We start from the raw sequence: 27,753 nt of genomic DNA, 5'->3' as shown, positions 1-27,753 counted from the left end.
TGTGGTCATCTTGTCTAGCTCAAGCAGTTCCACCTCTATAGCACATCTCATACCACCAGCATAGGTTGATTTTCATGTACCACATCTTCCTTCTATCCTTTACTGGACTGTATGTAGGTTTATTGAGAAAAGCAACCATGCCTGAGAGCCCCACACATAGAAGAGTGGCTTGATCAAGCATTTGGTCGTTTGGTAATAGCTGGTAATAACTAAACATTTGCCTGATCGATATTTCATGTGACAAAAATTGCCAGAGTAGTTTTAAGTTCTCTCATAATTCAGCTTTCCCTTCATATTCTTCAGCTATCAAGGTTACTGTGTACAAGCTGGGAATACCCTTGATCTTGAGATTAAAATGTAAATTAAGAGATTAAAATTAAGATCTTATATTTAAAATATATATATATACATATATAATTAAATTATATATACATATATACATATATAATTTAAAAATTATATATGTATAATTTAATATATAAATAAATTTAAGATGTTTTCCTCCTTTGCCAATATAGGGTTTGATGTAATCATTTCTTTGTTTTCTCAGGTCCCACCTCCATTTGCAATTGACCTCTTCTGGGAACTTCCTCAGATGGACAAGATTACCCCACCTTGCCCTTTACGTATCTGCTCTTAGGTGCTTCTTCACTTCAGTTGCTTTGCAGGAAGTGTCTAGAGGAATATGGTGGGCACAGAAGTAGCTCTGGTGACCTTGATCAAGGTGTTTTGAAATGCAGAATTCTTGAGTTCTGGAAGGGACTTTAGAGAATACCAGTGTTATTAATGACAAAGGCACTGAGGCCCAGGGAGGTGACCCGAATTATAAAGGCCAGCGCCAGAACCCAGATTTCCTAACTCTGGTGCTCTTTCCCTTTATCAGTTTGACTGTGGCCTGTTAACTGGTATATACATATATATGTCAGGCAAAGTGCTGCTGGAAGTAGAATTTGTCCAATAACAGGTCAACTTCAGAGACTATCTGATTTCCTAATGTCAGAGTAGAAGATTTTATGCTGCTGTTTACAAAAGCCCAATGTAATGCATAGGAAGTATGGCATGAACATCTTTAGGAGACTAATGGAAATATTATTGGTGTTTACCCAGTATTCCATTTTTTTCATTGTGTTCTCTATTGCTGCTCTCTCACTCCCCCATGAGGTACAGCAGAAAGGAGAACTATCCAAAACTAATTTCCTCTGACATGTAAGACGAATGATTTAGGTACGTCAAAGCAGTAGTCAAGGAGGAAAGGGATAGTCCAAAGACTTAACTGGTTCATATTGGACTGATAATCTCTTTAAATGGCTTTATGCTAGTTTGACCTCATTTGTAAAATATTTATGAGAAAGTTCTCATTTAAAATGAGATCGTTGTTTACAGTGTATGTACTAAGCAGTAAGCTATCTTCAAATGTCTAAGGTAGTAACTTTCCATAGGGCCTCCTTAGATCCCTAAGATGGCTTTTTCTCCTTGGTATTTCTGGGTCTTTCTGACATCAGCAGAGAACTGGAAAGACATAGCCAACTGCTGTTCATGTTACTCATGACTCCTTTCTCTAAAACTGCCTTCCACAATTCACTAGACCAGAAGTGGACGCAACTTAAGCTGGGATAATCACATTATCATCTGAAAATCTGGAGTTGAACAGCAAAAGAAGACAACATTTCTCAAATGCACATCTCATGGCAGCTAAGCCACATGGCTGGGATTTAAAGCCTTTAGAGCCAGCCCATGGCTTTAGCTACCTCACTATGCTGCTTCACAAACCTTGCTCCTGTGTAAAACTATATTCTCAGTGTAGGGCAGAGAGGTCTAACACCAACATAAGGTACTAGCAGTGTTTCCCGTATTGACAGGAATACTTAACTCAATAATTCTTTTCTTTTCCATTTAGTAACAGTTGTGATGACTATGTTTCTATTCTAAGTAATTCCTGTATTCTACAGCAGATACTTTGTCAGCAATACTAAGGGAAGAAACAAAGTTGAACCGTTTCTTTAATAATGCTGATCTACTTTTTGTTGAATTTGTATTTTATTTCAAGTGTCAAAGAAATCATCTTTGTTTATTTAGATGAAACCAAACACTACACATTTACACTCACACTGCTTCCAGGACCCAAGGGTTTCACAGACCATTTGCCTACCTGGTTCTTTCCTCTCCTCTTTCCAGTGATTTCTAGAATACCCTTTCAAAGGACCACATGAATATACGAACTGTAAAATTCAACTTTAATCTTTTGCGAAATGTTTTATTTACTGCTTAAAATCTAGGTGGGTGGATATATTCATGTATGCATATATTGATAGATTAATACAAACATAAGTATGTATTTAAATTTAAGGATAAGTAAAGTGAGAGTACAACAGCCCCATTCTTAGTTAAAAAGAAAAGAAAAAGACAAGAGCAAGCCACTGCCACCACAGGTACCAGCACTTAAATTTGTCAGCAGGCTGACCAAAGAGTGGCCTGTCTGTTGGCATTCATCGGACATGGCAGCTCCCTTCAGCTCTCCAGTGAGTTTCAAGTTCAGAGCACTTTCAGTCCTTGTCTTGTTTATCTATTACTGAAGGGTTTCTAGGAAGGTTTAGCAGTGCTTCAATTTTCTTAGCATCATTCTCAGGTTCATCTTCCTGTAAACTACTTTCAATTTTCTCAGGGAGGTGCTCAGTAACTTGTAGTCTGCCTTTCCTGTAATCAGATAAAAAGGATAAATCAAATACTGCTCCATTTCTTTAGTTCTTACAGATTTAAAACAAAAAGGATAGCATTTGTCTTTTCCTCCCTGCTTTGGTATAGCAATTTAGAAGCAAATACTGCTCCCTGAACTTCAAATACAGTAACTTTCTTCTCTCTCCTAACCTCACAAGCCAATTATGATTTCCACATTACCATAATGGATACCGTTGTGGTGACAGCTCTGATCCATAAGATATTCCTAGTATGCTGGGTCCTAGAGTTCTCACAGGAGTGATGTGTGGGAACTGACACACTTTGTGCTAAGGTGTGAAGGCTTGAAGTCTCGCTGTCCTCTTGCTCCCAGGGCTGGGGGAATGTAAGTACCCTGCCACTCTTAAACTCTGTGACCAGACCTTTTAGGAACTGGTCAAAGGCTATAACAATGGTAATCCAAGGTAGAGAAAAGTCAGATAGAACAAAACTATAGATTTATATTTATGAAGAGTTAAAAACTAATTTCCAAATAATAGATCAGTTCTGTTTCTAAATCAAGTATTAGTGTCTTCCTTAAGTGATTATCGGGATTAAAGTTTCTTCTCAACTCTTCACAGATTTGGTCATTTGTTCTTCTATATCTCTATAGTCAGTTTTCTACATTTTCTGCTCATTGAGGCAATTTTTTTGACTCTCAATTTGTTTGATTTTCCTGTATTATTTTCAAGCGAAGAAGTAGGCACATACAAGACACTTAAACGTTTATTAACTCTCCTTAGAAATATCTCACACACACACACACACACACACACACACACAAACACCCATACGTGTATATGCTATACAATTTTGACACTTTCATTCTGCCAAAGTATTCTTTCATTACTATGATTCAAGTTGTTTTTATCCATCTGTCTTAAAATTGATACTAATAATTGTACATATTTATGAAGTACAAAGTGATATTTTTGTACATATACAATGTGTAATGATCAAATCAGGGTAATTAGCATATGCATCACCTCAAACATTTATCATTTCATACTGCTGGGACCATTCAAATATCCTCTCTTCCAGCTACTTGAAAATATACAATAAATTATTAACTATAGTCATCCTACAGTGCCACAGAACACTAGAATTTATGCCTCCGATCTAGTTATAATTTTGTATTCATTAATCAATCCCTTAAATCTCCTCTTCTTATGCCTTTCCCTGTCCCCTCCTCAGCCTCCAGTAACCATAATTCTACTCTTTACTTCTATGAGCCCATTTTTTAGCTCCCACATGAGCAACAGAACATGCAGTATTTATCTTTCTGTGTATGACTTATTTTACATAACAATGTCCTCCAGGCTCATCCATGTTCCCACAAATGACAGGATTACATTCTTTATTATGGCTGAATAGTATTCTATGGTGGATATATACCACATTTTCTTTATCCATCCATCTGTTGATGGACACTGACGTTGATTCCATACCTTGGCTATTAATAGTGCTACAATAAGCATGGGGGCGCAGATAACTCTTTGATATGCTGGTTTCTTTTCCTTTGGATAAATACCTAGTAGGGAAGATTGCTGGATCTTACAGTAGTTCTATTTTTAGTTTTCTGAGGAACTTCCATACTGTTTCTATAAAGGCTGTAATAATTTGCATTCCTACCAAAAGTATATGAGTTCCCTTTTCTTTCTACATCCTTGCCAAAATTTATTTTTTGTCTTTCTGATAATAGACATTCTAATTGGGATAAATATCACTCCAATTTCCCAAACTGTCCCCAAACCACATTTCATTGTGGTTTTGATTTGCATTTCCCTGATTAGTTATGTTGAATACTTTTTCATATACTTGTTAGCACTTGTAGGTATTTTTTGAGAAATACAAGTTTCCCCCCAAGCTCCCCCGCCCACTTTTTTTTTTTTAAAGAGACAGGGACTCACTTTGTTGCCCAGGCTGGAGTGCAGTAGCACAATCATGGCTCACTGCTGCCTTGAATTACTGGGCTCAAGGGATCCTTCAGCCTCAGTCTCCCAAGTAACTGGGGCTATAGGCATGCACTACTGTGCCTAATTTTCTTTTGTCTCATGCTGTCACTCAGGCTGGAGTGCAGTGGCACCATCTTGGTTCATTGCAACCTCCACCTCCCAGGCTCAAACAATCCTCCTGCCTCAGCCTCCCACGCAGTTGGGATTACAGGTGTGCACCATGACAATTTTTGTATTTTTAGTAGAAATGGGGTTTCACCATGTCGGTCAGGCTGGTCTCGAACTCCTGACCTCAAGTGATCCGCCTGCCTCGGCCTCCCAAAGTCCTGGAATTACAAGTGTGAGCCACCGTGCCTGGCCTCCAATGCCCTTTATTTCTTTTTCTTGCCTAACTGCTCTGGCTAGGATTTCTAATACTATGTTGAACAAGACTGGTAAGAGTGGGCATTCCTATTTCATTCCAGTTCTTTGAGGGAAAAGCTTTTCACTTTTCCCTGTTCAGTATGATATTAGCTGTGAGTTTGACATATATGGCCTTTACTGTACTGAGAAATAGTCCTTCTACCCCTAACTTTTTGGGAGGTGTTACCATGAAGGGGTGTTCAATTTTACCAAATGCTTTTTCTCATTTACTGAGATGATCATATGGTTTTTTTCCTTCCTTCTGTTTATATGATGTAACACATTTATTGATTTGTGTATGCTGCACCATCCTTGCATCCCTAGGATAAATCCCACTTGTTCATGATGTATAATCTTTTTGATGTACTCTTGGATTTGGTTTGCTGGTATTTTGTTAAGGATTGTTTTGTAGAATACATTGGCCTGTAGGTTTTGTTGTTGTTGTTGTTTAATGAGCCTTTGTCTGTTTGTTGTTGTATAAGGGTAATGCTAGCCTTGTAGAATGAGTTTGGAAGAACTCTCTCATCTTCAATATTTCGGAACAGTTTGAGAATTGGTCTTAATTCTTCTTTAACTGTTTGGCAGAATTTAGCAATGAAGCCATGTGGTCCTGGACATTTCTTTGTTGGGAGACTTTTTATTACCAGTTCAATCTTGTTACTTGTTATTGGTCTGTTCAAGTTTTCTATTACTTCTTGGCTCAATCTCGATAGATTATAGGGGCTCAGGAATGTATCCATTTCCTGTAGCTTTTCCAATTTCTTGGCATACAGTTGTTTCATAATAATCTCTAATGATATGACTATGTCCGTGGTATCAGTTGTAATGTCTCCTTTTTTGTTTTTTACCTTAATTGGGTCTTTTTTCTAACTTGTGGTTTCTTGATTTTGTTTTCAAGAAACCAACTTTTCATTTAGTTCTTCTTTTGTGTTTTTTTGTTTGTTTTTAAGTCTCTATTTCACTTAGCTCTGCTCTGATCTTTTTATTTATTTCCTTCTGATTTTGGGTTTAGTTTGTTCTTGCTTTTCGAGTTCCCTGAGGTGCAGTGTTAGGTTGTTTATTTGAAACATTTCTACTTTTTGATGGAGGCATTTATTGCTATAAACTTCCCTGTTAGTGATGCTTTTGCTGTATCCCATAGGTTTTGGTATGTTGTGTTTCTGTTTTCATTTGTTTCAAGAAATTTTTAAATTTCCTTCTTAATTTTTTCATTGACCTATTGGTTGTTCCAGAGCATATTATTTAATTTCTGTGTATTTGCACAGTTTCCAAAGTCCTTCCTGTTACTGATTTCTAGTTTTATTCTGCTGTGGTCTGAAAAAATATTTGATGTTATTTTGATCTTTAAAAATTTGTTGAGACTTGTTTTGTAGCCTAACATATGGTTTATCCTGAAGAACACTTCAAGATAAGAAAAACGTGTATTTTGCAGCTGTTGGATGTGATGTTCTGTAAATGTCTGCTAGATCCATTTGATCTACAGTACAGTTTAAGTCTGATATTTCTTTGTTGATTTTCTGTCTAGATGATCTGTCCAGTGCTGGGAGTGTGGTGTTGAAGTCCCCAGCTATTATTACATTAGGGTTTATCTCTCCCTTTAGCTCTAATATTATTTGTTTAGATATATATATATATGGATGCTCTGGTGTTGGGTGCATATATATTTACAGTTGTTATTTCCTCTTGCTGAATTGATCTCTTTACCATTATATAATGACCTTGTCTCTTTTTATAGTTTTTTATTTAAAGCCTATTTTATCTAGCATAAGTATAGCTATTCCTGCTCATTTATGGTTTCCATTTGCATGAACATCCTTTTCTATCCCTTTACTTTCAGCCTATCTGTATCTTTACAGGTGAAGTGAGTTTCTTGTAGTCAGTATATATAGTTGAGTCTTTAAACTTTTTTTTATTCATTCAGCCACTCTAAATCTTTAATTGGGGAATTTAAAGTGTTTATATTCAACATTGTTATTGATAGGTGTGGATTTACTCCTGTCATTTTGTTAACTGTTTCCTGGTTGTTTTGTATAATCTTTGTTCCCCTTTCTTCCCCTCTTATTTTCATGGTTGGTAGATTTTTGTAATTATAAGGTTTGATTCCTTTCTGTATCTGCTCTACCAGTGAGTTTTATTCTTTCACGTTTCCATAATGGTAGTTACCGTGCTTTTGCATTCAGATGTAGGAGTTCTTTAAGCATTTCTTATAAGGCAGTCTAGTGGTGATAAATTCCCTCAGTGTTTGCCTGTCTTGAGAAGACTATTTCTCCTTCATTTTGGAAAAATAGCTTTGCTAGGTATAATACTCTTGGCAGGAGTTTTTTGGGTTTTGTTTGTCTGTTTGTTTGTTTTTTCCTTTTAGCACTTGGAATGTATCATCCCATTCTCTCCTGACTTGTAAGGTTTCTGCTGGCAAATCTGCTGTTAAACTGATGGGGGGAGGTAAATGGTGGCAGTGGACCCTGGATGAGCCAGTCTTCAGGGGGTGCACGTGGCAGCTCAGCCACTAGAATTGGCAGGGTTGCCAGTGGTGGAAGACTCCAGGTGAATGACCTTAGAATGGCCATAGCCAGCCATTCTTAAGCTTTTCCATCTCAAAATCACTGATCTCTAAATCACTGACAAACTTCTGCAGTTTTTAATGTTTCATTTACTTTTTTAATTTTTTTTTTTTTTTGAGATGAAGTATTGCTCTGTGGCCCAGGCTGGAGTGCAGTGGCGCAATCTCAGCTCACTGCAACCTCAATGCTTTTCTTCTCATATAGCACTTAAGTCCTTGGATGATGGACCTACAGCTCTTAAGAATTTCCGTGTGTGTGTCTGTGTGTGTGTGGTTAGCAGAAATGGAGGTTTCAAATGAAAACACTGGAAAAAAATGATTTCTCATCTATCCAATTATAATACCAAAACAGCAACAGCAGCAGCAGCCAATGCTGTCTTAGGTACCCAGGAAGGTGAACTAGTGAAAATCATTTGTACTCAGGAGCACTAGATGGCAGCCTGTTATATTCATCTTACATATTGAATCTGTGCAAAGTCAGCTATCAGTCTGATTGCCCTATCCCACAAATTGCATCCCAGGAGATGATTAGATGCAATAGGTGAAAGTTTTCATGTTCCTCAGTGGCATTCAGTGCATGAACAACCATTGTCCACCTAATTCCTCTGCATCTACAGCAAGAAATAGAATTTTTGTGGAGACTTAACATGCTGTGTCTTACTTACATATGTATGCAAAAAAAAAAAAAAAAGTCACTTTTTTTCTTTTTTGAGACCGAGTCTTGCTCTGTGGCCCAGGCTGGAGCACAATCACGGCTCACTGTAACCTCCGCTACCCAGGTTCAAGTGATTCTCCTGCCTCAGCCTCCTTGAGTAGCTGGGACTACAGGCACGTGCCACCATGCCCAGCTAATTTTTGTACTTTTAGTAGAAATGGGGTTTTGCCATGTTGGCCAGGCTGGTCTCGAACTCCTGACCTCAGGTGATCCACCTGTCTTGGCCTCCCAAAGTGCTGGGATTACAGGCATGAGCCACCCTGCTAGGCTAAGGATGTCACTTTTTAAGTAAGCCAGGTAAAGCTCACTCCTTGGTGAATATTCCCTTTAGGTAATTTCCTATGCAGTTAAGAACACAGGAAAAGAAAAAACATGCAAGCAAGATTTACACCACTTTTAACTTAAAAAGATATCCAAAGAAAGATCTTCATTAAATTAAAACTAAAATCAATCTCTTTCATTTTTCCATTCTCCTTAAATAGATTAAAAGACAATGTACAGTATGAGTTGAAGGACTTGGTAAAAATAAACTCTTCTTTGAATTGAGTGGCAGTTTAGAGTACATAAGTTTAAAAGAGCACCACTATATAAGGCCTGGGGCAAGAGAGCCAAGATTCCCTGGGCTCAACATGTTCCTTACCACTCTTCCAGTTTTAGCTCATGGAGTGCCTTTCGATCCTTCTGTTTTCTTTCCTGAACAGTCTCACCAGAGTACTTCTGAAATGCCATCAGCAGGCCTCCTACAGGAGTGCTGAGAAGAAAGGAGAGGGAAAGCTTAGGAAAAACGAGTCATTAGACCTTGCAACATGTGAGATTCTCTGCTAAGGTGTGAGCAACACCAGAGCCACTTGTTCACTATTAGGTACAGGAACATTTGAGAATTAAAGTGTCCTTGTCAAATAAAGAAAAACATTGAGGTAATCTCTTCCTTGGTCTGAACAACAGACAAAAACAATCACTACAACCTCCTAAAGTTAACTGATATATAATAAAACAACAGATCTAGAAACTGGCTGTTTTTATGAGGAATGAGAAATAAATCAAAACAAAGAGGAAAAATATATATATTTATGACAAGTTCTAGTAAGTAGCCCCACACCAAAGATTTCTCAAAAATGAAATTTCTAGTTCAGAATGGCACCAGCTCCTCTAGGAGACAGGAAATGTGGAGGGCATTTCTGGTTGAGGGAGGGATGCTACTGGCTTTTGGGGGTGGGACCACCAAAATATCCTGAAGTTCAAGAGTCTGGCGTAACTGTCTCACCCACAATGCCAATAGCAACCCATTGAGAAACTGATTTAGATAATAATTATTATAGTGATGAAGAGAGTTTGGTTCTTGTGTTCTCAGACTAGAAGTATTTGACCTTCATACACCTTAAATTTCCTCCAGCTACAATTTAAGTAACCTCATACTAATAACTATTTTTGCTAAGTGGAAGCAACATAAATGTTCACTGACAGATGGTTAAAGAAAATGTAACATACACATACAATGGAGTATTATGCAGCCTTAAAAAAGAGGGCAATCCGTTCAACAGGTTACAACATAGATAAACTTCAAGGACATTATTATGCTAAGTAAATAAGCTAGTCACAAAAGGACAAATAGTGTATGATTCCACTCATATGAAGTATCTAAAGTAGTCAAAATCTTAGAAACAGAAAGTAGAAATATATTTGCTGAGGGCTGGAGGGTATGGGGAGGGGAAATTAGTTTTTAATGCATATAGTTTCATTTCTCAAGATAAAAAAGTTCTAGAGATCTCATGCACAATGTGAATATACTTAGCATTTTTGAACTATACACTTAAAATATGATTAAGATGGTGAATGTTATGCTATGTGTTTATTACCACAATAAAAAATATTTTTGTTGCTAACTCCTACAACTTTTCCCTTCAAACCAAACTGGTATATTAACACTACAACAAAAGCAATGGCAGCAGTAGATTATGACATGCTGATTTTATTTAATTCAAATTTTTAAAAAAATCATTAAATCTATAGCATTACCTTCTCCTTCAAAGGAGGTAGACAAAGGGGTGAACAGGTGGAGGACGAAGGTAGCACTCTTCTAGTCAGACAAATACCAACTAATAAAAACAGAAGAACTGACAGAACTAGCTTATCAACATTTACAACCACCTTTCTAGTAACCAACCGATTACAGCATGGGTCGTCAATGGATCATTAAAAACACATGATGAAAAGATAGCTGGAGAGCAGAATATTCAGTTTCACCCTCCAGATTACTAATTAATCACATTGGGAAAAAGATATCTTTGCAATGGAGACACTGAACAGATAACACCTTAACCAAGTGTGGTAGGCAGAATTCTAAAGTGGTCCCCCCAAATATCCTGCCTAATCCCTCAACTGTGAATATATTATGCCCATGATTATATTATCTTACATGGCAAAATTGATTTCAGAAATGTAATTAAGGTTACTAATTAGTTGAATCTGAGATAATGAAAAAGGAGATGGCTATCTGAGTGAACACTCAAAAGCAGAGTTTTCCCTGGCTGGTGGCAGAGTAGAAGTTAAAGATTTGAAGTATGAGAAGGGGTTAATGTGCTGTAGCTGGTTTAAACACAAAGGGGCCCTAGGAGAAGAAATGTGGGTGGCCTCCAGGAACAGAGAATAGTCTGGCTGACAGCCTGCAAGGAAAACAGGGACCTCAGACCTCAAGGCACAAGGAAGTAAATTCTTTTTTAGTTTTTCCTCTTTTTTTTTTTTTTTTTGAGATGGAGTCTTACTCTGTTGCCCAGGCTGGAGTGCAATGGTGCGATCTTGGCTCACTGCAACCTCTGCCTCTGCCTAGGTGAAGGGTATATGGGGTTCAAGCAATCCTCCTGCCTCAGCCTCCCGAGTATCTGTGATTACAGGCGCTTGCCACCACACCTGGCTAATTTTTGTATTTTTAGTAGAGACAGCATTTCACCATGTTGGCCAGGCTGGTCTCAAACTCCTGATCACAAGTGATCTACCTGCCTCGGCCTCCCAAACTGCTGGTTTTACAGGTGTGAGCCACTGTGCCTGGCCACAAGGAACTAAATTCTGTCAACAACCTGAATGAGCTTGGAAACAGATTCTTCCCCAGAGCCTCCAGGTAAGAGCCTAGCCCGGCCAAGACCTTGACTTTGGCCTTGTAAAATCTTGAGCAGGGAAACCCAGCCAGATTTATAATCTACAGAACTACAAGGGTGTTGTTTCACATGCAATACATGCTCAGTTTGTGGTAATTTGTTGCACAGCAGAAAACCAATATATCAAGTAATTAAAGTTAATATTACTTATAATGGGTGACAGAATATCTCCTGATGTGATACATGAGGATACAACTTCACCTATGTTGTATTCCTGACAAAAATACATTAATCTAATCATGATGGGATGATCAAACAAAATGGAGAAACATGTGGGCATTAGTATGATAACTGAGGAGTTTTTAATATAGACCCTAACTTAGATAGTTGTGTTGAAACAATGTTTACTGTGATAATTGTATTATGATTTCATGGAAGAGTATTCTTCATCCTGGGAGATACATGCTGATATATATGGGGGTGAAGTATCATGAGGTCTCAAACAGTTTAGCCAAGAAGCAAACGGAAAGAAAAAGAAATATATTCACATCCCACACATATACATAGATATGGAAAATATCACCAAGGCGTTAACAACTGGTGAATCTAGGTGAAGGGTATATGGGGTTTCAATGTACTAATTCATTCAACTTTTCTGTAGGTTTGAAATTGTTCAAAGTAAAAAATTGAGGAAGAACATTTTTTAAAAATGTATTAAGCAAAACAAACAAAATCCTAACAATTTTTACAGAATATGCTTGTTAACTGTTTTTTGTTCTTTTTTCCCTGCTCCCATAAATACCTGTGTTCGAACTATAGTTTCAGGTGTTAGCAATATTTAAACAGTTTTAGCTGGTAAAAAGGCATTTTGAATAAGGGCCCTATCTTAGATAGTTGTATTGAGTCAATGTTATTTATTGTAATAACTACTAAGTAAAAGAAACTATAAATAAAAACTGTAAATAAGATAAACTATTGGGGTAGAATTAGAATGGACAGTCAAAGCTACTGCCAATGCAAGACTAGAGATCTTTTATAGATTCTAAGGATTAAATTTGTTCTTTGAAAATAAATGAGACTTTTTAATAGGCAAGGTATTAATGAAAATTGTGCCAATTTAGAACCAAACCATGTTAATGCTTACCCCAGCAAGGCTCCAATTATGCCACCAGCCACCAGGCCACGCAGGCCTACGTTTATCCTAAAAAGACTTCCCGTGACAGCTATTTAAAAACAAGAAAGGCAATATTAAATCATCTTTAAAACTAGAATCCTATTTTAAAACTTTCCTTCTACAAAAAGGAAATCCCTAAGTGAGCTTTCTGAATCCAATGTTAATATACTACTACAGCCTATACTTCCTGAATCTAAAATGCCAACACAGGTAGCTTCCCATCCACTCTGCAGATTCAAAGGAAGACACATCCCTTCTACAAAAGTAAATCTTCAATATGTTCTATGGATCCATTCATTCTGCTTCATTTTTGCCCATCTCTCCTTAAAAATCTGAAAATGTTTTTCCCCTTCTCTTTCTTTCTTCTTTCTTCAAGGAAAATAAAAAAGCAAAAAACCTTCACTAGCCCCTCCAGTTTATGCCTTCCCCTAGACTCACTCTCTCTGTACTGCTACATGGCACCACTCAGGCAGGGTGACAAGCAAGCAGCATTTGGCCTACAATGCTACCTGGTGACCAGTGCACAGAAAGACTTCTTTCCTTTCTGCTGGGACTGTGCATCAATCATGCTCATTCATTTTCCTTTCACTATGCACAATGCAACTAATGCCATCTAAGGTGGTAACACTTTTTAAATAATAACATTTGAAGCCAGGTGCAATGGCTCACACCTGTAATCCCAACACTTTGGGAGGCCAAGGCAGGCGGATCACTTGAGGTCAGGAGTTCTAAGTCAGCCTGGACAACATGGCAAAACCCTGCCTCTACTAAAGATACAAAAATTAGCTGGGTATTGTGGTGCACGCCTGTAATCCCAGCTACTCAGGAGGCGGAGGCACAAGAATTGTTTGAACCCCAGAGGCGGAGGCTGCAGTGAGCAGATATCACACTCCTGCACTCTAGCCTCAGCGGAAGAATGAGACTGTCTCAAAAAACAAAATAAATAACAGTTGAGGTTTATATTTTTAAGTACTATATATTCATTTTTAAAATTTTCAAAATTAACAAGAATCAAAATCACCTTTAATCCCATTACCCAGAGTCAGTAATAAGTTAGTCTTTTTTTCTGATCCTCCAAACAAAATAAAACAAAAAACAAAAACAACAACTGGGGCCGGGCACGGTGGCTCACACCTGTAATCCCAGCACTTTAGGAGGCCGAGACGGGTGGATCACGAAAGTCAGGAATTCAAGACCAGCCTGGCCAAGATGCTGAAACCCCGTCTCTACTAAAAATACAAAAATTAGCCGGGCATGGCGGCACACACCTGTAATCCTAGCTACTCAGGAGGCTGAGGCAGGAGAATCACTTGAACCCAGGCGGCAGAGGTTGCAGTGAGCCGAGATCGCGTCACTGCACTCTTGCCTGGACAAAAGAGCAAGACTCTGTCTAAAAAAACAAAATAAAACAAAAACACAAAAACTGGGGCCATGGTGTACATACTAAATTTTTTATTTTCACAGAACATATTATTAAATTCTGTATCACTGAGTTTTCTCCCACCTAGTTCCATTGCATGGAGGTACCACAAATTTTTGTCTAACACTTAGATTTTCTATTTATAGATATTTTAAATAAAGGTATGATGATAATCCCTCCACAAATAATCTTTTTATACATTTGATTGTTTCCTTAGGACAAACTCACAGAAATGAAATTTCTGGGCCAAAAGGTATAAGTATAAACATTTTTAAGGCTTTTGACTTAAATTACTAAACTGCTATTCAAAAAGGATGCATAAACTTATTTTCCAAATAAAAGTATGCAAGTAATCTAGTCTTCTGCATTCTCTTAGTTTATTTTTTCCAATTTGATAGGCCAGAAGTGGTATGTAATTTTTAAGTTGCATTTCTCTGATTAGTAGAAAAAAGTTGTTTTTCCCTAGGTTTACAAGTTATTTGTGGTACGTCTGTGAATTACAAATTCATGTCCTTTGTCCAGTCTTCAACTGAGCTATCCTTTCTTTTTGATATATTAGGGCTTTTATCCATTACCTGCACATACTATTATTTTGGCATTGTTTACATTTAATGTCTTCCATAGTATTTATGACATAGATAGGTTTAAAAATTTTATGTGGCCAAAACTGTGTTTCCTGTTTCCTAGTTTCTTAGTTCTTATGCTTAAAAATACATACAGTTGATAAACATGAGTTTGAACTGTGCAGATTTACTTACGCACAAATTTTTTTTTCTTTTTTCTTTTTTTTTTTAAGATGGAGTCTCACTCTGCTGCCCAGGCTGCAGTGCAATGGCATGATCTTGGCTCACTGCAACCTCTGCCTCCCGGGTTCAAGCTATTCTCCCCCACCTCAGTCTCCCAAGTAGCTGGGACTACAGGTGCATGCCACCACAACTATTTTTTTTATTTTTTAGTAGAGACAGGGTTTCACCATGTTGGCCAGGCTGGTCTCGAACTCCTGATCTCAAGTGATCCACCCGCCTCAGCTTCCCAAAGTGCTGGGATTACAGGCATGAGCCACCATGCCAGGCCACATGAATTTTTTTCAATAAATATATTGAAAAATGTTTTGGAAATGTGCAATAATTTGAAAAAACTCGCAGATAAACTGTCTAGCCTAGAAATATCAAAAAAAATTAAGAAAAATGTATGTCTTTAAGTGCATAAAATATATGTAGACACCAATCTATTTATGTGTGAAGCAACTGTTTATGTTATTGGTAAGGCCTCTGGATAACAGCAGGCCATTAGTAGTTAAGTTTTGGGGGAGTCAAAAGTTATATGTGGATTTTTCAACTGCACAGGGCAGATGTCAGCATTGCTATTGTGTTCAAAGCTGTTTTCAGTGTTGTCCAAAGGTCAACTTGTATATGTACACATTTATATATCTTCCTACTCAGAAATCAGAGACACATTTACTTCTATATTTTCCCCAATCTTTTATGGATTTTTTTACATAAGCACCATAATAAATGTTAACTAATTTTGTTGTACTGAATATAGTTATAATTTCTTTCCAAATAGTTAATAACTGTTCCAGCCCAAGAATGGTCTATTCTTAAACCACGAATGTGAAGTATCACCTTTACTTATTTGTGGGTGCTTGGTTTTGTTCCTGACCTTGCAATTCCATTCCACAGATCTACCAATACCTCTTTATTGTCCTCTTTATTGTAACTTTATACAGATTTTAATTTTACAGTTGCAAGAACCCCTCATTATTTTTTGCTGAAATGTCTTTGCTATGCTCTTAATAATCAGCATTTTAGATATGATTTAGACATTGTATCAAGTTTTTTTAAAAAAGCCTGTAATTTTGATTTGAATTGCTTTCAATTTATAAATGAAGTAGAAAAATACTGGGTTAACTATCAACTGTTTCCCCATTTTTATTATTTATGATTTGTAATTTTCTTCAGAGAAGTTGTACATTTATTAAATTTATTCCTTATTATATTACATTCTTAGTACTATTATTAAGAAAATTTTTTACTTTTCAAGTAACTGCTGAAATATAAAAAGGCTATTTATATATTTACACTTTACTGATAGCAATAATTTTTCAAGTCATCTTTTAAAATATTACCTACAAATACAGAAAATTTTGCTTCCTCCTATCTAAAAGCACTGCCTTTTTCCCCTTCTGTGTTAATATATTTTTAACAGTTTTATTGAGGTATAATTTACATAACACAAAATTCACCTAAATGTACAATTCAATAATTTTTAGTAAAAAAATCTAGTGGCCCGGCACGGTGGTTCATGCCTGAAATCCCAGCACTTTGGGAGGCCGAGGCGGGCGGATCACGAGGTCAGGAGATTGAGACCATCCTGGCTAACATGGTGAAACCCTGTCTCTGCTAAAAATACAAAAATTAGCCGGGTATGGTGGCATATGCCTGTAGTCCCAGCTACTCAGGAGGCTGAGGCAGGAGAATCCCTTGAACCCGGAAGGTGGAGGTTGCAGCGAGCCGAGATCGCACCACTGCACTCCAGCCTGAGCGACAGAGCAAGATTCCGTCTCAAAAAAAAAAAAAAAAATTTAGTTGCATTGCTATATAATCATCACCAAAATCCAATTTTTAAATGATTCCATCATTACAAAAAGATCCCCCACGCCCATTTGTGGTTACTCCTGGTTCCCAATCTCACCTCAATCCACTAATGTACTTTCTAACTCTACAGATCTGCTTATTCTGGACATTTCATATGAATAGAATTATACAATATGAAGTCTTTTGTGTCTAGCTTTTTTCACTTAATGTTTTTGAGTTTTATTCATGTCGCAGCATGTATCAGTTTTTTACTGATGAAAATATTCAAGTGAATGGACATATCATATTTTATTTATCCATTCACTAGTTGATGAATTTATGGGTTCAGTTTGAGGCTGTCGAGAATAACACCACTATAAAAATTTATATATAAGTCTTTGCGTGGACATGTTTTCATTTATCTTGGGCAGATTCTAAGACATGGAATTGCTGAGTTGCACAGTAAATTATACTTAACTTTTTTTTTTGAGATGGAGTCTCACTCTGTAGCCCAGGCTGGAGTGCAGTGGCGCGATCTCAGCTCACTGCAAGCTCTGCCTCCCAGGTTCACGCCATTTTCCTGCCTCAGCCTCCCAAGTAGCCGGGATTACAGATGTGCACCACCATGCCCAGCTAATTTTCGTATTTTTAGTGGAGGCGAGGTTTCACCATGTTGGCCAGGCTGGTCTCAAACTCCCAACCTCAAGAGATCTGCCTGCCTCAGCCTCCCAAATCGCTGGGATTACAGGCATAAGCCACCACACCTGGCCTTCCAATGGTTTTCTTAATTCATTTGGATTTTCTACTTGCAAGATGTTGTGGTTACCCTCCAGAGACAATAAACTCCCCCACCCAAAATTTGAATCAGATATTGAAATGCCAAAGTACCAAGAGGTACTAAGAGGATACCAAAAGGTTTATTACACATATAATAAGGCTTTCCAGGGAGAGCAAGGCAAGATCCCAAGCATGTCCCAAAATGACTTGAGAACCTGAAGGCTGACTGACTGGCTTGTGGTTTTAGAAGGTGGGGCTAGAGCAAGAGCTCCCTCATGTAGGCCTGAGCTTGCATGGTTGAAACTTCCTGCTGGTGTCAACCAAGGTAGCACTTGGGCTTTCTTATCAGCTTGTCAAGATGTGGGGCAAAAAGGAAAGGGAGACTTCCAGTTTCTGGTATGGCATGTGAGAAGTTTAGAGTTTATCACTTATTCCTAACAACAAGTAAAAAGCTAAACAAATGGAAAAACTGACAACTCTTCTTAGATCCACCAAAGAAGTGAGATCATGGGTAAACTGCTGCCCTCAAAATAGGAGAGACAGACAGATAAATACAGAGAATCACACCTTATTAGAGCAGAAACCCACGAGCAGAAGCCTCCATGGAAACCAGTACCAGAGTAGGAAACCTTGACTATAAATGATAAATTGCTGGAAGTTCAGTGTAGAAAAGTCTAAGACCTAAAAACTGTAGGGGAGCCAATCATAGAGGGTCCCCACACTCCAGGAGCTCTACCAAGTTCTCCCAGTAAAGATCTGAGAAAAATCCCCTCAGGCTTCTGGCAAGGGGGAAGAAAAGTAACCATTTTGAAATATGCCAGAACATTCCGTTATTCTCACTAAGGCCTGCCCTCAAGATAAATGGTTTTGCACAGCCCAAACTATTGGGGTTTTGTCAGAGATTAACCAGCCTGGGGAATATCCAAATGCAACTGCTCTAGCCTCCCATGTGGGAGAAAGGAAATACCCATTCCAACCCACTGTAGTATCCTGTCCCACCAAAGGAGAGGAAAAAAACTGAAAAGCACTTGTGAAGTTAACAGTTCAGAAGCACAGGCTCACTAAAAGACTAAGAACCTAATCATAGGACTGCAAAACACTTTCCCTCTCCCACATCTTAATACCAAATTACTAAAGACCTATTTACCATAATTCCTTTTTTACCCAGGTACATCATGTCCAGCTATCAAGAAAAAAAATTACAAGGCATCCTAAAAGGCAAAAGCAGTTTGAAGAGACCAAGTAAAACTAAGAGAGTAAGCACCAAAACCAGACTCAGATATGGTGGGGATACTGGACTTACCATATGAAGAGATTAAAGCAACTATGACTAATACACTAAGGGCTCTAATGGATAAAGTAGATAGCATGCAAGAATAGATGGGCAATATAAGCAGAGAGATGGAAATTCGAAGAGAGAATCAAAAAGAAATGCTAGCGATAAAACAAATTTAAAAACCCACTGTAACAGAACTGAAGAATAGTAGACTGGACACAGCTGAGGAAAGAATCCCTGAGCTTGAAGACATTATCAACAGACACTTCCCAAACCGAAAGACAAAGAGAAAAAAGATGGGAACCTCCTCCACCAAAAACAAACAAACAAACAAACACAGAATAAAATATCCAAGAACTGTGAAACAATTACAAAAGGTATAAGTGTACTAGAACACCAGAAGGAGAAGAGAAAGCTAAAGAAATCTTTGAAACAATCACTGAGAATTTATCCTAAATTAAGTCAGACAACAAACCACAGATCCAGAAAGTTCAGAAAACACCAAGCACAGTAAATGTTCCTCAAAATTACACCTGGGCATATCATTTTCAAACTGCAGAAAATCAAAGATAAAGAAAAAAACAGTGAAGTATGTGAACACAAGGGAAAGACAGCTAAATAGAACTAAACATGGCTAGGGAGAAAATGGCTAGGGAGAACTCTCTAGGGAAGCTGAGGCTGACAAATGATCTGGACTTTGAAAGGTAAGGTTAAGTAGGAGCCGAACAAAATTAATTGTGGTAGTGGGAAAGTGCATTCAAGAAGAGGGACTGATTCACAAAAGGAAAGAACATGTTGGGAAATCCGAGGAGATTGTAAAGTGAAAGCAAAAGAGTGGCGCATGGAAGCCAGATCAAGAATTGACATTAAAGTGACAGGAAACTATAGAAGAATTTCAAACAGAAAAGTGGCAAAATCATATTCATATTTCAAAAATGTAACTAGGTTACAGGTAGAGCACATCAAGATTAGAAACAGGGACGATAAGATAGTAGCAGTGGGAAAAAAGAAGTGAAAGAATCCATATATATTTAATGAGTATAATTAATAGGACAAGAAGTGGAAAGAGAAAAAAGAGCAGAACCATATCATTCCTTGGTTTCTAGTTTTTTTTTTTTTTTTGAGACAGGGTCTCGCTCTGTCGCCCAGGCTGGAATGAGGTGGCATGATCACACCTCACTGTAGCCTCGACCTCCTGGGCTCATGCCATCCTCCCACCTCAGCCTCCTGAGTAGCTGAGCCTACAGGCATGAATCACCATGCCCAGATAACTTTTTGCACACACACGGTCTTGCCATGTTTGTTGCCCAGGCTGTTCTCAAACTCCTATACTCAAGCGATCTGCCCACCTTGGCCTCCCAAAGTGCTGGTTACAGGCGTGAGCCACTGTGCCTGGCCTGGTTTTCACATTTAACAATTGACAGAGAACGTAACAGCAGGAGCAAGTAAGGAAGTAAAAGTGGGTAGACAAGACCCATGTAAAAATGCTTGCAAATTTAAAAATGAAACAATCTGGCTGCTCTAACGCTATTAATGCCTATTTCTAGTTTTGTATTTTAAAAAGTTTTCATTAAAATGTTGTTTGAGGATCAGGAAAAACAACTAAGATACTAGGCTTAATACTTGGGTGATGAAAGAATCTGTATAGCAAATCTCCATGACACGCGTTTACCTAAGTAACAAACTTACACATCCTGTACATGTACCCCTGAAGTTAAAAGTTAAAAAAAAAAGTTCAAATTGTGTGTTTTCCCATGTGTGTACACATATACACAGAGAAGAGGGAGAGTGCATGCAGTAGCAAGAAGATAAAGCAAGTTGTCTGACTTAATTTCGGATAAATTCTCAGCATGAATTGTTAACAATGGCTAAGTCTCTGTATGTGAAGGATAGAGACTGCCCTTTGTATTATTTTTATTTTGCAATCTTTTGTAAGCTTATTCCCAAAAAAACATTTAAAAACTGTTATGTTCAGGCCGGGCGTGGTAGCTTACGCCTGTAATCCCAGCACTCTGAGAGGCCGAGATGGGCGGATCACCTGAGGTCGGGAGTTCGAGACCAGCCTGACCAACATGGAGAAACCCCTTCTCTGCTAAAAATACAAAAAATTAGCTGGGAATGGTGGCGCATGCCTGTAATCCCAGCTACTAGGGAGGCTGAGGCAGGAGAGAATCCCTTGAACCTGGGAGGCGGAGGTTGTGGTGAGCTGAGATCGCGCCATTGTACTCCAGCCTGGGCAACAAGAGCAAAACTCCATCTCAAAAAAAAAAACAAAAACAAACTTATGTTCAGAATACATATGTGTGTTGTACATAAAAGAATGTACACAAGTTAGTGATTGAGTGTATATAGCAGTTAACTTACCTTTCTGAAACGAATGCTCATTTTAAAATTATTTTTTAAATCTGACAAGTAAAAATTGTACACATATGGTGTATAACATGTTTTGCAGTATGTATATATTGGGGAATGGCTAAATTAAGCTAATTAACCTACACGTTACTTCACATACTATTTTTTGTGGTGAGAACACTTAAAATCTACTTTTTTTTTTTTTTTTTGAGACAAGAGTTTCACTCTTGTTGCCCAGGTTGGAGTGCAATGGCGTGAACTCAGCTCACTGCAACCTCTGCCTCCTGGGTTCAAGTGATTCTCCTGCCTCAGCCTCCCAAGTAGCTGGGATTACAGGCACCTGCCACCACACCCAGCTAATTTTTGTATTTTTAGTAGAGACGGGGTTTCACCATGTTAGCCAGGCTGGTCTCAAATCACCTCTGATGATCCACCTGCCTTGGCCTCCCAAAGTGCTGGGATTACAGGTGTGAGCCACCGCTTGGCCAAAATCTACTTTTTAAAAGCAATTTTGAAGTATACAATACACTGTTAGTAACCATAGTTACCATGTTTTAAATAGATCTCTTGAACTTATTCCTCCTGTCTAAATGAAATTTTGTATCCTTTGACCAACATCTTTTCCAACCCCATATCCAGTCTCTGGTAATCACCATTGTACCTTCTATTTTTAATGCTCATTAAAAAGAAAATATACATATATATACTAGAGGCAGAGAGCTTTAAAATAAAATCCAAGTTCTTACCATAAAAAATCTAGTCCATTCCTATAGTCCTCACCAATCTCATCTCAAGCTACTCTTTCCCTCACTCACCACGTTATTATCCTGCTTTTAAGGAAATGTTTTGCCTTAGAGCCTTCCCCCTTGATGTTCCCTCTATTTAGGACACCCTTCCTTGCAAGTCTTGCTCCTTCCTATTCTTTGGTATCAGCTCAAATGTCACTTCCTCAGAAAGGCCTTCTTTGACTACCCTGTCCATATGAGATCCCATTGTTCCACCGAATTGTTACTTTCTATCACAACAACCTGTATTATCACATACATATTAGACATTAAAATTCAAAGAAAGCAAGGGCCTTGCTGTTTTGCCCATTGAGTATATCAAGGGTGAAGCACAACACTGTCCATAAATACATTTTGCATCAATGTTGATGAGATGTAATGGGAAGCCAACCAAAGAATTCAGTAGTTCTGATGTATAAGTCCTTACACATTTTCTAAACTGTATTTGAGAAGACTGAAAAATATAAACAAAAATGTCTTACCTCCTGCAATTACAAAATGGCTTAAGGCATCTTTATTTCGGTATACATTCAGACTAGTGTTCACTGTGCTGGTAAAAAGGGAGGAGAAGGAAAATATAAGATTTAAAGCATATCCCATTTACCTTCTTGAGTGTTATTTTCACTGACTTAATAGATTTAGAAAAGCCTACTATATCAATCCCTGTTCCTAGCCTAGGCCCCTTCAATGTGTTCCAGACATGGTTGTAAAACCATAACTACACCAGTCTTTTACACAGAGAAAAGTTCTTGAAAAAAAAAAAAAGGCATTATTAATCACTTTCATGTGGGTATTCAGTTTTCATAACCCCACCTGCTCAAAAGACACACTCCTAAAACAATATCAAGAAAATTCACTATCTCACAATTCAGAGTGAACTTACTTGAATATAGTCACAAACACTGCAGTTCTCCAACCCCAGCGCCAGCCATAACGAATGAAGCCTCGTGTGGCAGCACGATGTGCAGATTGCTAAAGTTAATTAAAAAACTGTGAGGTTCTAAGACACCATCATATTTTCCTTATTCTAGAACTGCGGTAGAGGAATTTTAGCTATGGATTAGTCAGGTACACCCAAACAGATAGAAATACTAGAAAATCTCTAGAAATACTATTCTTTAAGTATTGAGGCTTACGTAAAAGTTCCATGTGTAGCCTATCCTATCAGGAGATGAAAAAATGGTTGAGTATCCCTTATCTGATACTTGAGACCAGATCCCTTATCTGATACTTGGATTTAGGATTTTTTCAGATTTGGGAATATGCGCTTTTAACACTTACTGGTTGAGCATCCCAAATCCAAAAAACCGAAATCTGAAATGCTCCAATGAGCAATTCCTTTGAATGACGTGTCAATGCTCAAAAAGTTTTGAATCTGAGCATTCAGGATTTCAGATTTGTGCTGCTCAACCTGTAATGAATTATAAATCTACAGAATAAAATAAGAATCCATGAGTCCCTACTGATAGAAATAAATTATAAATAGATAAATAAATATGTAAATAGAGGGGGGAAGGGAAAACACTTCCTTAGAGCATAATACTAACCAATAAATGTAGAAAGAATGATAGACTTTAGAAAATGCCCATTTGGCCACCACAGTCATAATTGTTACAGGAAGAATCATCATTAAATGCTAAAACTGCCTGGGTATGGTGGCTCACACCTGTAATCTCAGCACTTTGGGAGGCAACTAGGGAGGATCACTTGAGCCGACAAGTTTAAGACCAGCCTGGGCAACATAGCGAGATCCTGCCTTTACAAAAAAAATTTAAGAATTAGCTAGGCATGGTGGTGTGTGTTTGCAGTCCTAGCTACTCGGAAGGCTGAGGCGGGAGGAAACCTTGAGTCCAGAAGTTTGAGGTTGTGGTGAGCTATGATCGCGCCGCTGCACTCCAGCCTGCACTGAGGCAGGAAGACCCTGCCTCAAAAAATTTCAAAAAAAAAATTAATTAATTAAAAAATAAAAATAGGCTGGGCACAGTGGCTCACACCTATAATCCCAACCCTTTGGGAGGCCAAGGAGGGGGTGAACTGCTTGAGCTGAGGACTCTGAGACCAGCCTGGGCAACATGGCAAAACCCTGTCTCTACAAAAAATACAAAAATTAGCTGGGAATGGTGGCACATGCCTATAGTCCCAGCTACTTGGGAGGCTGAGACAGGAGAATCGAGTGAGCCTGGGAAATGGAGGTTGCAGCAAGCCAAGATTGTGCCACTGTACTCCAGCCTGGGCAACAGAGTGAGACCCTGTCTCAAAAAATAAATAAAGGAATAAATAATTTTTAAAAAAATAAAAAAATTATAAATGCTAAGAATTTAGAATAGTTTTTAGATAGTAGAAATATTATAGTTTATAATAGCATTTAAGTAGTAGAAATTTGATGAAAAGCAGGATATTTACATAGTCTCAAAGGAACTAACAAGTACTCAAAATACTTATAAATTACCAAGGAAAAACATAGTAATTTTACAGTGTATAGTTGGCAGAGGCCATCTTAAGCAAGTCACTGAAGTAAACATCACCAGTAAAGGGACAGAGATATCATGGGTTTCTAATTTAATTTCAGTTCTAGGGTATTCCTGTCAAAAAACATAGTCTGAATGCAGTCATGAGAAACCATCAAACAAACCCAAATTGAGGGACATTCTACAAAATAAATCACCCATAGTCAAGGCCATGAAAGACAAAAACAGAGAAACTCTTCCAGACTAAATGAGACCAAAGCAGCATAACAGGCAAATTCAACATGTGATCCAGGGTCAGATTCTGGACCAGACAAAAAAAAATTTAATTAATTAATTTTTTAATAAGAACTCAAGCCTAACTTCTGAAAAATACATTTTTTTATTTATTTTTAAAATAAATGATACTGTGGGATAACTAGCAAAATTTACAGGTCTTTAAATAAGATAATAGTACTATATCTGTGTTAATTTCCTGATCTTGATATTATAATTGTGGTTGTATAAGAGAATTTCCTTGTTTTTAGGAAATAACACACTGAAGTATTCATCATGTCTATAACCTACTGTCAAGTAGCTCAGAACAAATTAGTACATATTATACAGAGGGAGAATGATAAAACAAACATGGTAAAATGTTAACAATGGAGAATCCGGATGAAAGGTATATAGGAAATCTTTGTACTAGTTTTGCAACTTTCAAGCCTGCTATAATTTCAAAATAAAAAGTTAAAAATTCTCTGAGCTTTAATATTCTCACAAAAGAACTGATGTACAGATCTAATGATGTAACAAACGAGTTAGCACTCTATAAAGTTATAAATGTTAACTATTGCTTTAGTGTGAGCTCCTATACTCATGGAGGCTTTGTGAATGAGGTAAATATGTTACAGCTGAGCCTTGACGATTTAGCAGGGGATTGGAAGAAATGTATTTGAGAAAGAAAAGCCACAGTGGTGATGCCAAACATGCCTGTTCTGAAGATAACAAAGTAGTCTCTCAAACAACATGCAGGCACTTTAACATTAGTACTTCCACTGTTATTAAGTACAGACTTTATTTCTTTACTCTGACACCTTAAAACAACCCTCCATCCCCACAACCTAATTGAATGATTAAGTGTAAAGTGAATTACTAAGTCAGTGTGCCCCAAATTTCTTTAGATCACCAGTACATACCACAGCATCAAACCGGTTATGATAAATTTCTGCCTGGCTCTGCTCAATGTATTGTTGTTTAGCATGAATAAAAGCTGGTATTCCCCCATACACCCAGCCAATGATGCCTGCTGTAGCTGCCGTCTTACAGATATTAGCAAGGTCCTTTGAAATTCTCTGCTGTTCACTACAACATCAAAAAGACAATGTTGTTTGGGATTAGTTTATGGACATTGCTCTCCAAGAGACTCTATAATCAGAATTAACCCAAATGCTACCACCACAACATTTTTCATCATAGGTAGAATTCTCAGATGAATTAAACAGTTCAGTTATATTAAAAGGAACGTAGTCTCAGACAAAACGAAGCTATGGTGTTAGAATTAGGATAGTGGCAACTCCTGAAAAGACAATGACCGGAAAAGGCACAAGGGGAGCTTTTGGGATGTTACAATAGTTGCCATTTCTTTCTTAGTGCTGGGTACAGCTATGTTCAGTTTGTGAAAATTCATCCATCAGTATACTTAGGCACATTTTTCGAAATGCATTTCCTACTCCAATAAAAAGTTTTTTAAAAGGTGCTTTTGATGACTATTACACCCCTAGAAATAGGAAGAATTTGTGAGTTGGATAGAGAGACCAATATTTCCGTTTAAATCTTAAGTTAACTTTTAGAAATCACACCAACTCGTGAGATTTTAGGGCAATGTATGAAAGAATAAAAACGTGGATGTAAGACAAAAAATCTAAATTCTATTTTACTAAATAATTTCATGAAATACTCAGATAGGACTGTACTAATAAAAGCACTGGGCTGGGCACAGTAGCACACGCCTGTAGTCACAGCTAACTTAGGAGGCTGAGGTAGGACTTGAGCCCGAGTTCAAATCCAGCATAGCAACATAGCAAAGATCCTGGCTCTAAAAATAAACAAATAAATGTTTTTTTAAAAACGCACTGGGAAAGTTCACTATGCAGTGGGTGGCACATGCCAATCTAAAATAACAAGGAAAAACTACTATTTAATTCGATTTGTTACTCTCAAATGCATAAGAAGCTAGAACTGCTAATGAAGCTTCCAAGATGTCATCCTGAGACTGCTCTAACAAATAGCTGTCTTAAGTATTAAGTTACTATAAAATAATTGCCCTTCTAGGCCGGGCGCAGTCCAGCCGCGGTGGCTCAGGCCTGTAATCCCAGCACTTTGGGAGGCGGAAACAGGCAGATCACGTGAGGTCAGGAGTTCCAGACCAGCCTGGCGAATGGTGAAATCCTGTCTCTACTAAAAATACAAAAATTAGCTGGGCATGGTAGTGGGCAACTGTAATCCCAGCTACTCTGGAGGCTGAGGCAGGAGAACCGCTTGAACCTGGGAAGTGAAGAGTGCAGTGAGCCAAGATCGCACCACTGCACTCCAGCCTGGGCGATAGAGCGCGACTCAGTCTCGAAAAAAAAAAAAAAAAGAAAGAAAAATACGAGTTTGGGCTGGCGCGGTGGCTCACGCCTGTAATCCCAGCACTTTGGGAGGCCGAGGTAGGCGGATCGCCTAAGTCCAAGAGTTCAAGACCAGCCTAGGCAACATGGTAAGAACCCTGTCTATAAAAAATACATTAAAAAAAAATTAGCCGGGCGTGGTGGTGCGCGCCTGTAGTCCCAATTAATCGGGAGGCTGAGGTGGGAGGATCACTTGAGTCCCAGAGGCAGAGGTTGCAGTGAGCCGAGATAGCACCACAGCACTCCAGCCTGGGCGACAGAGCAAGACCCTGTCTGGAAAAAAAAAAAAAAAAAAGAAAGAAAAAAGATACAAGCTTGGGTTACAAATATCAGAACCTCAAATATAATCTAAAAATGAAGCACACCATCCTTGGTGTCCTAAGGCTGACCCAGGCTGCCCACGCTGCAGGACACCGCTTTCGCGGCCCCCTACCCCACTTCACACCCTAGGCACTTTTACTCTTTGCCAAACAGCTCCCGGAGGCGGTCCCATCCAGATTCCGGGTAATAGGGCTCTGGGACGTAGGGAAGCCGCTTCTGACGCTCCTCAAGGACTTCCGAATCGGCAGTCACAGCTTCGGCAGCAAAGACTCGGGGAAATAGGCACAATGCTCTACAGAGAAAGCTCCGCGGTGCCGGTGGCGGCACCTCCATGGCCTTCTCTCGACCTACGGACAAACTTGAGCGCTCAGGACTTCAAGTCCTCGCGGACGTGCCGCGGGAGAGCGTAACTGTACGAGGTGAGAATCCGTGCATTTGACCCAGGTTAACCCTCTGCCAGAGGGCTCGACACCCACACCTTCAGTCCCCGGCCTCGCTTTGGAGTCCTTGGAAATACGAC

The 27,753-nt window shown here is 38.4% G+C and overlaps 2 protein-coding genes across 3 annotated transcripts in view, besides 1 other annotated feature; one reads left to right on the top strand and one right to left on the bottom strand.

Annotated features, from left to right (window-relative positions):
- The window catches only part of CD80 (CD80 molecule), a 35,322-nt gene extending 33,315 nt beyond the window's left edge, over window positions 1-2,007 (top strand). Inside the window, exon 7 of the mRNA NM_005191.4 lies at window positions 551-2,007. The gene's annotated coding sequence lies outside the window, so the exon portion shown is untranslated. The remainder of the gene's footprint in view (window positions 1-550) is intronic.
- TIMMDC1 (translocase of inner mitochondrial membrane domain containing 1) lies at window positions 1,210-27,753 on the bottom strand. Of its 2 annotated transcripts, NM_016589.4 has the most exons (7): window positions 27,373-27,753; window positions 25,440-25,605; window positions 22,680-22,768; window positions 22,279-22,346; window positions 12,581-12,659; window positions 8,985-9,095; window positions 1,210-2,694 (listed from the first exon to the last, which is right to left on the bottom strand). In NM_016589.4, exons 1-7 carry the CDS (start codon window positions 27,564-27,566, stop codon window positions 2,544-2,546), a joined length of 858 nt encoding a protein of 285 aa, NP_057673.2. In that variant the 5' UTR covers window positions 27,567-27,753; the 3' UTR covers window positions 1,210-2,543. The 2 variants fall into 2 exon arrangements, with proteins under 2 accessions (NP_057673.2, NP_001424969.1); NM_001438040.1 differs by lacking the exons at window positions 12,581-12,659; window positions 22,279-22,346; window positions 22,680-22,768; window positions 25,440-25,605 and having other exon boundaries at window positions 2,019-2,694.
- Window positions 20,291-20,491: a silencer, noted in NCBI's record as "peak4782 fragment used in MPRA reporter construct". NCBI's record gives its function as "represses an SCP1 promoter by STARR-seq MPRAs in K562 erythroleukemia cells {active_cell/tissue: K562}" and the evidence as "EXISTENCE:reporter gene assay evidence [ECO:0000049][PMID:32103011]".

Source organism: Homo sapiens, chromosome 3 (assembly GCF_000001405.40).
Source record: "Homo sapiens chromosome 3, GRCh38.p14 Primary Assembly".
Taxonomy (NCBI): domain Eukaryota; kingdom Metazoa; phylum Chordata; class Mammalia; order Primates; family Hominidae; genus Homo; species Homo sapiens.
This window is presented reverse-complemented; position numbering and strand designations above follow the sequence as displayed.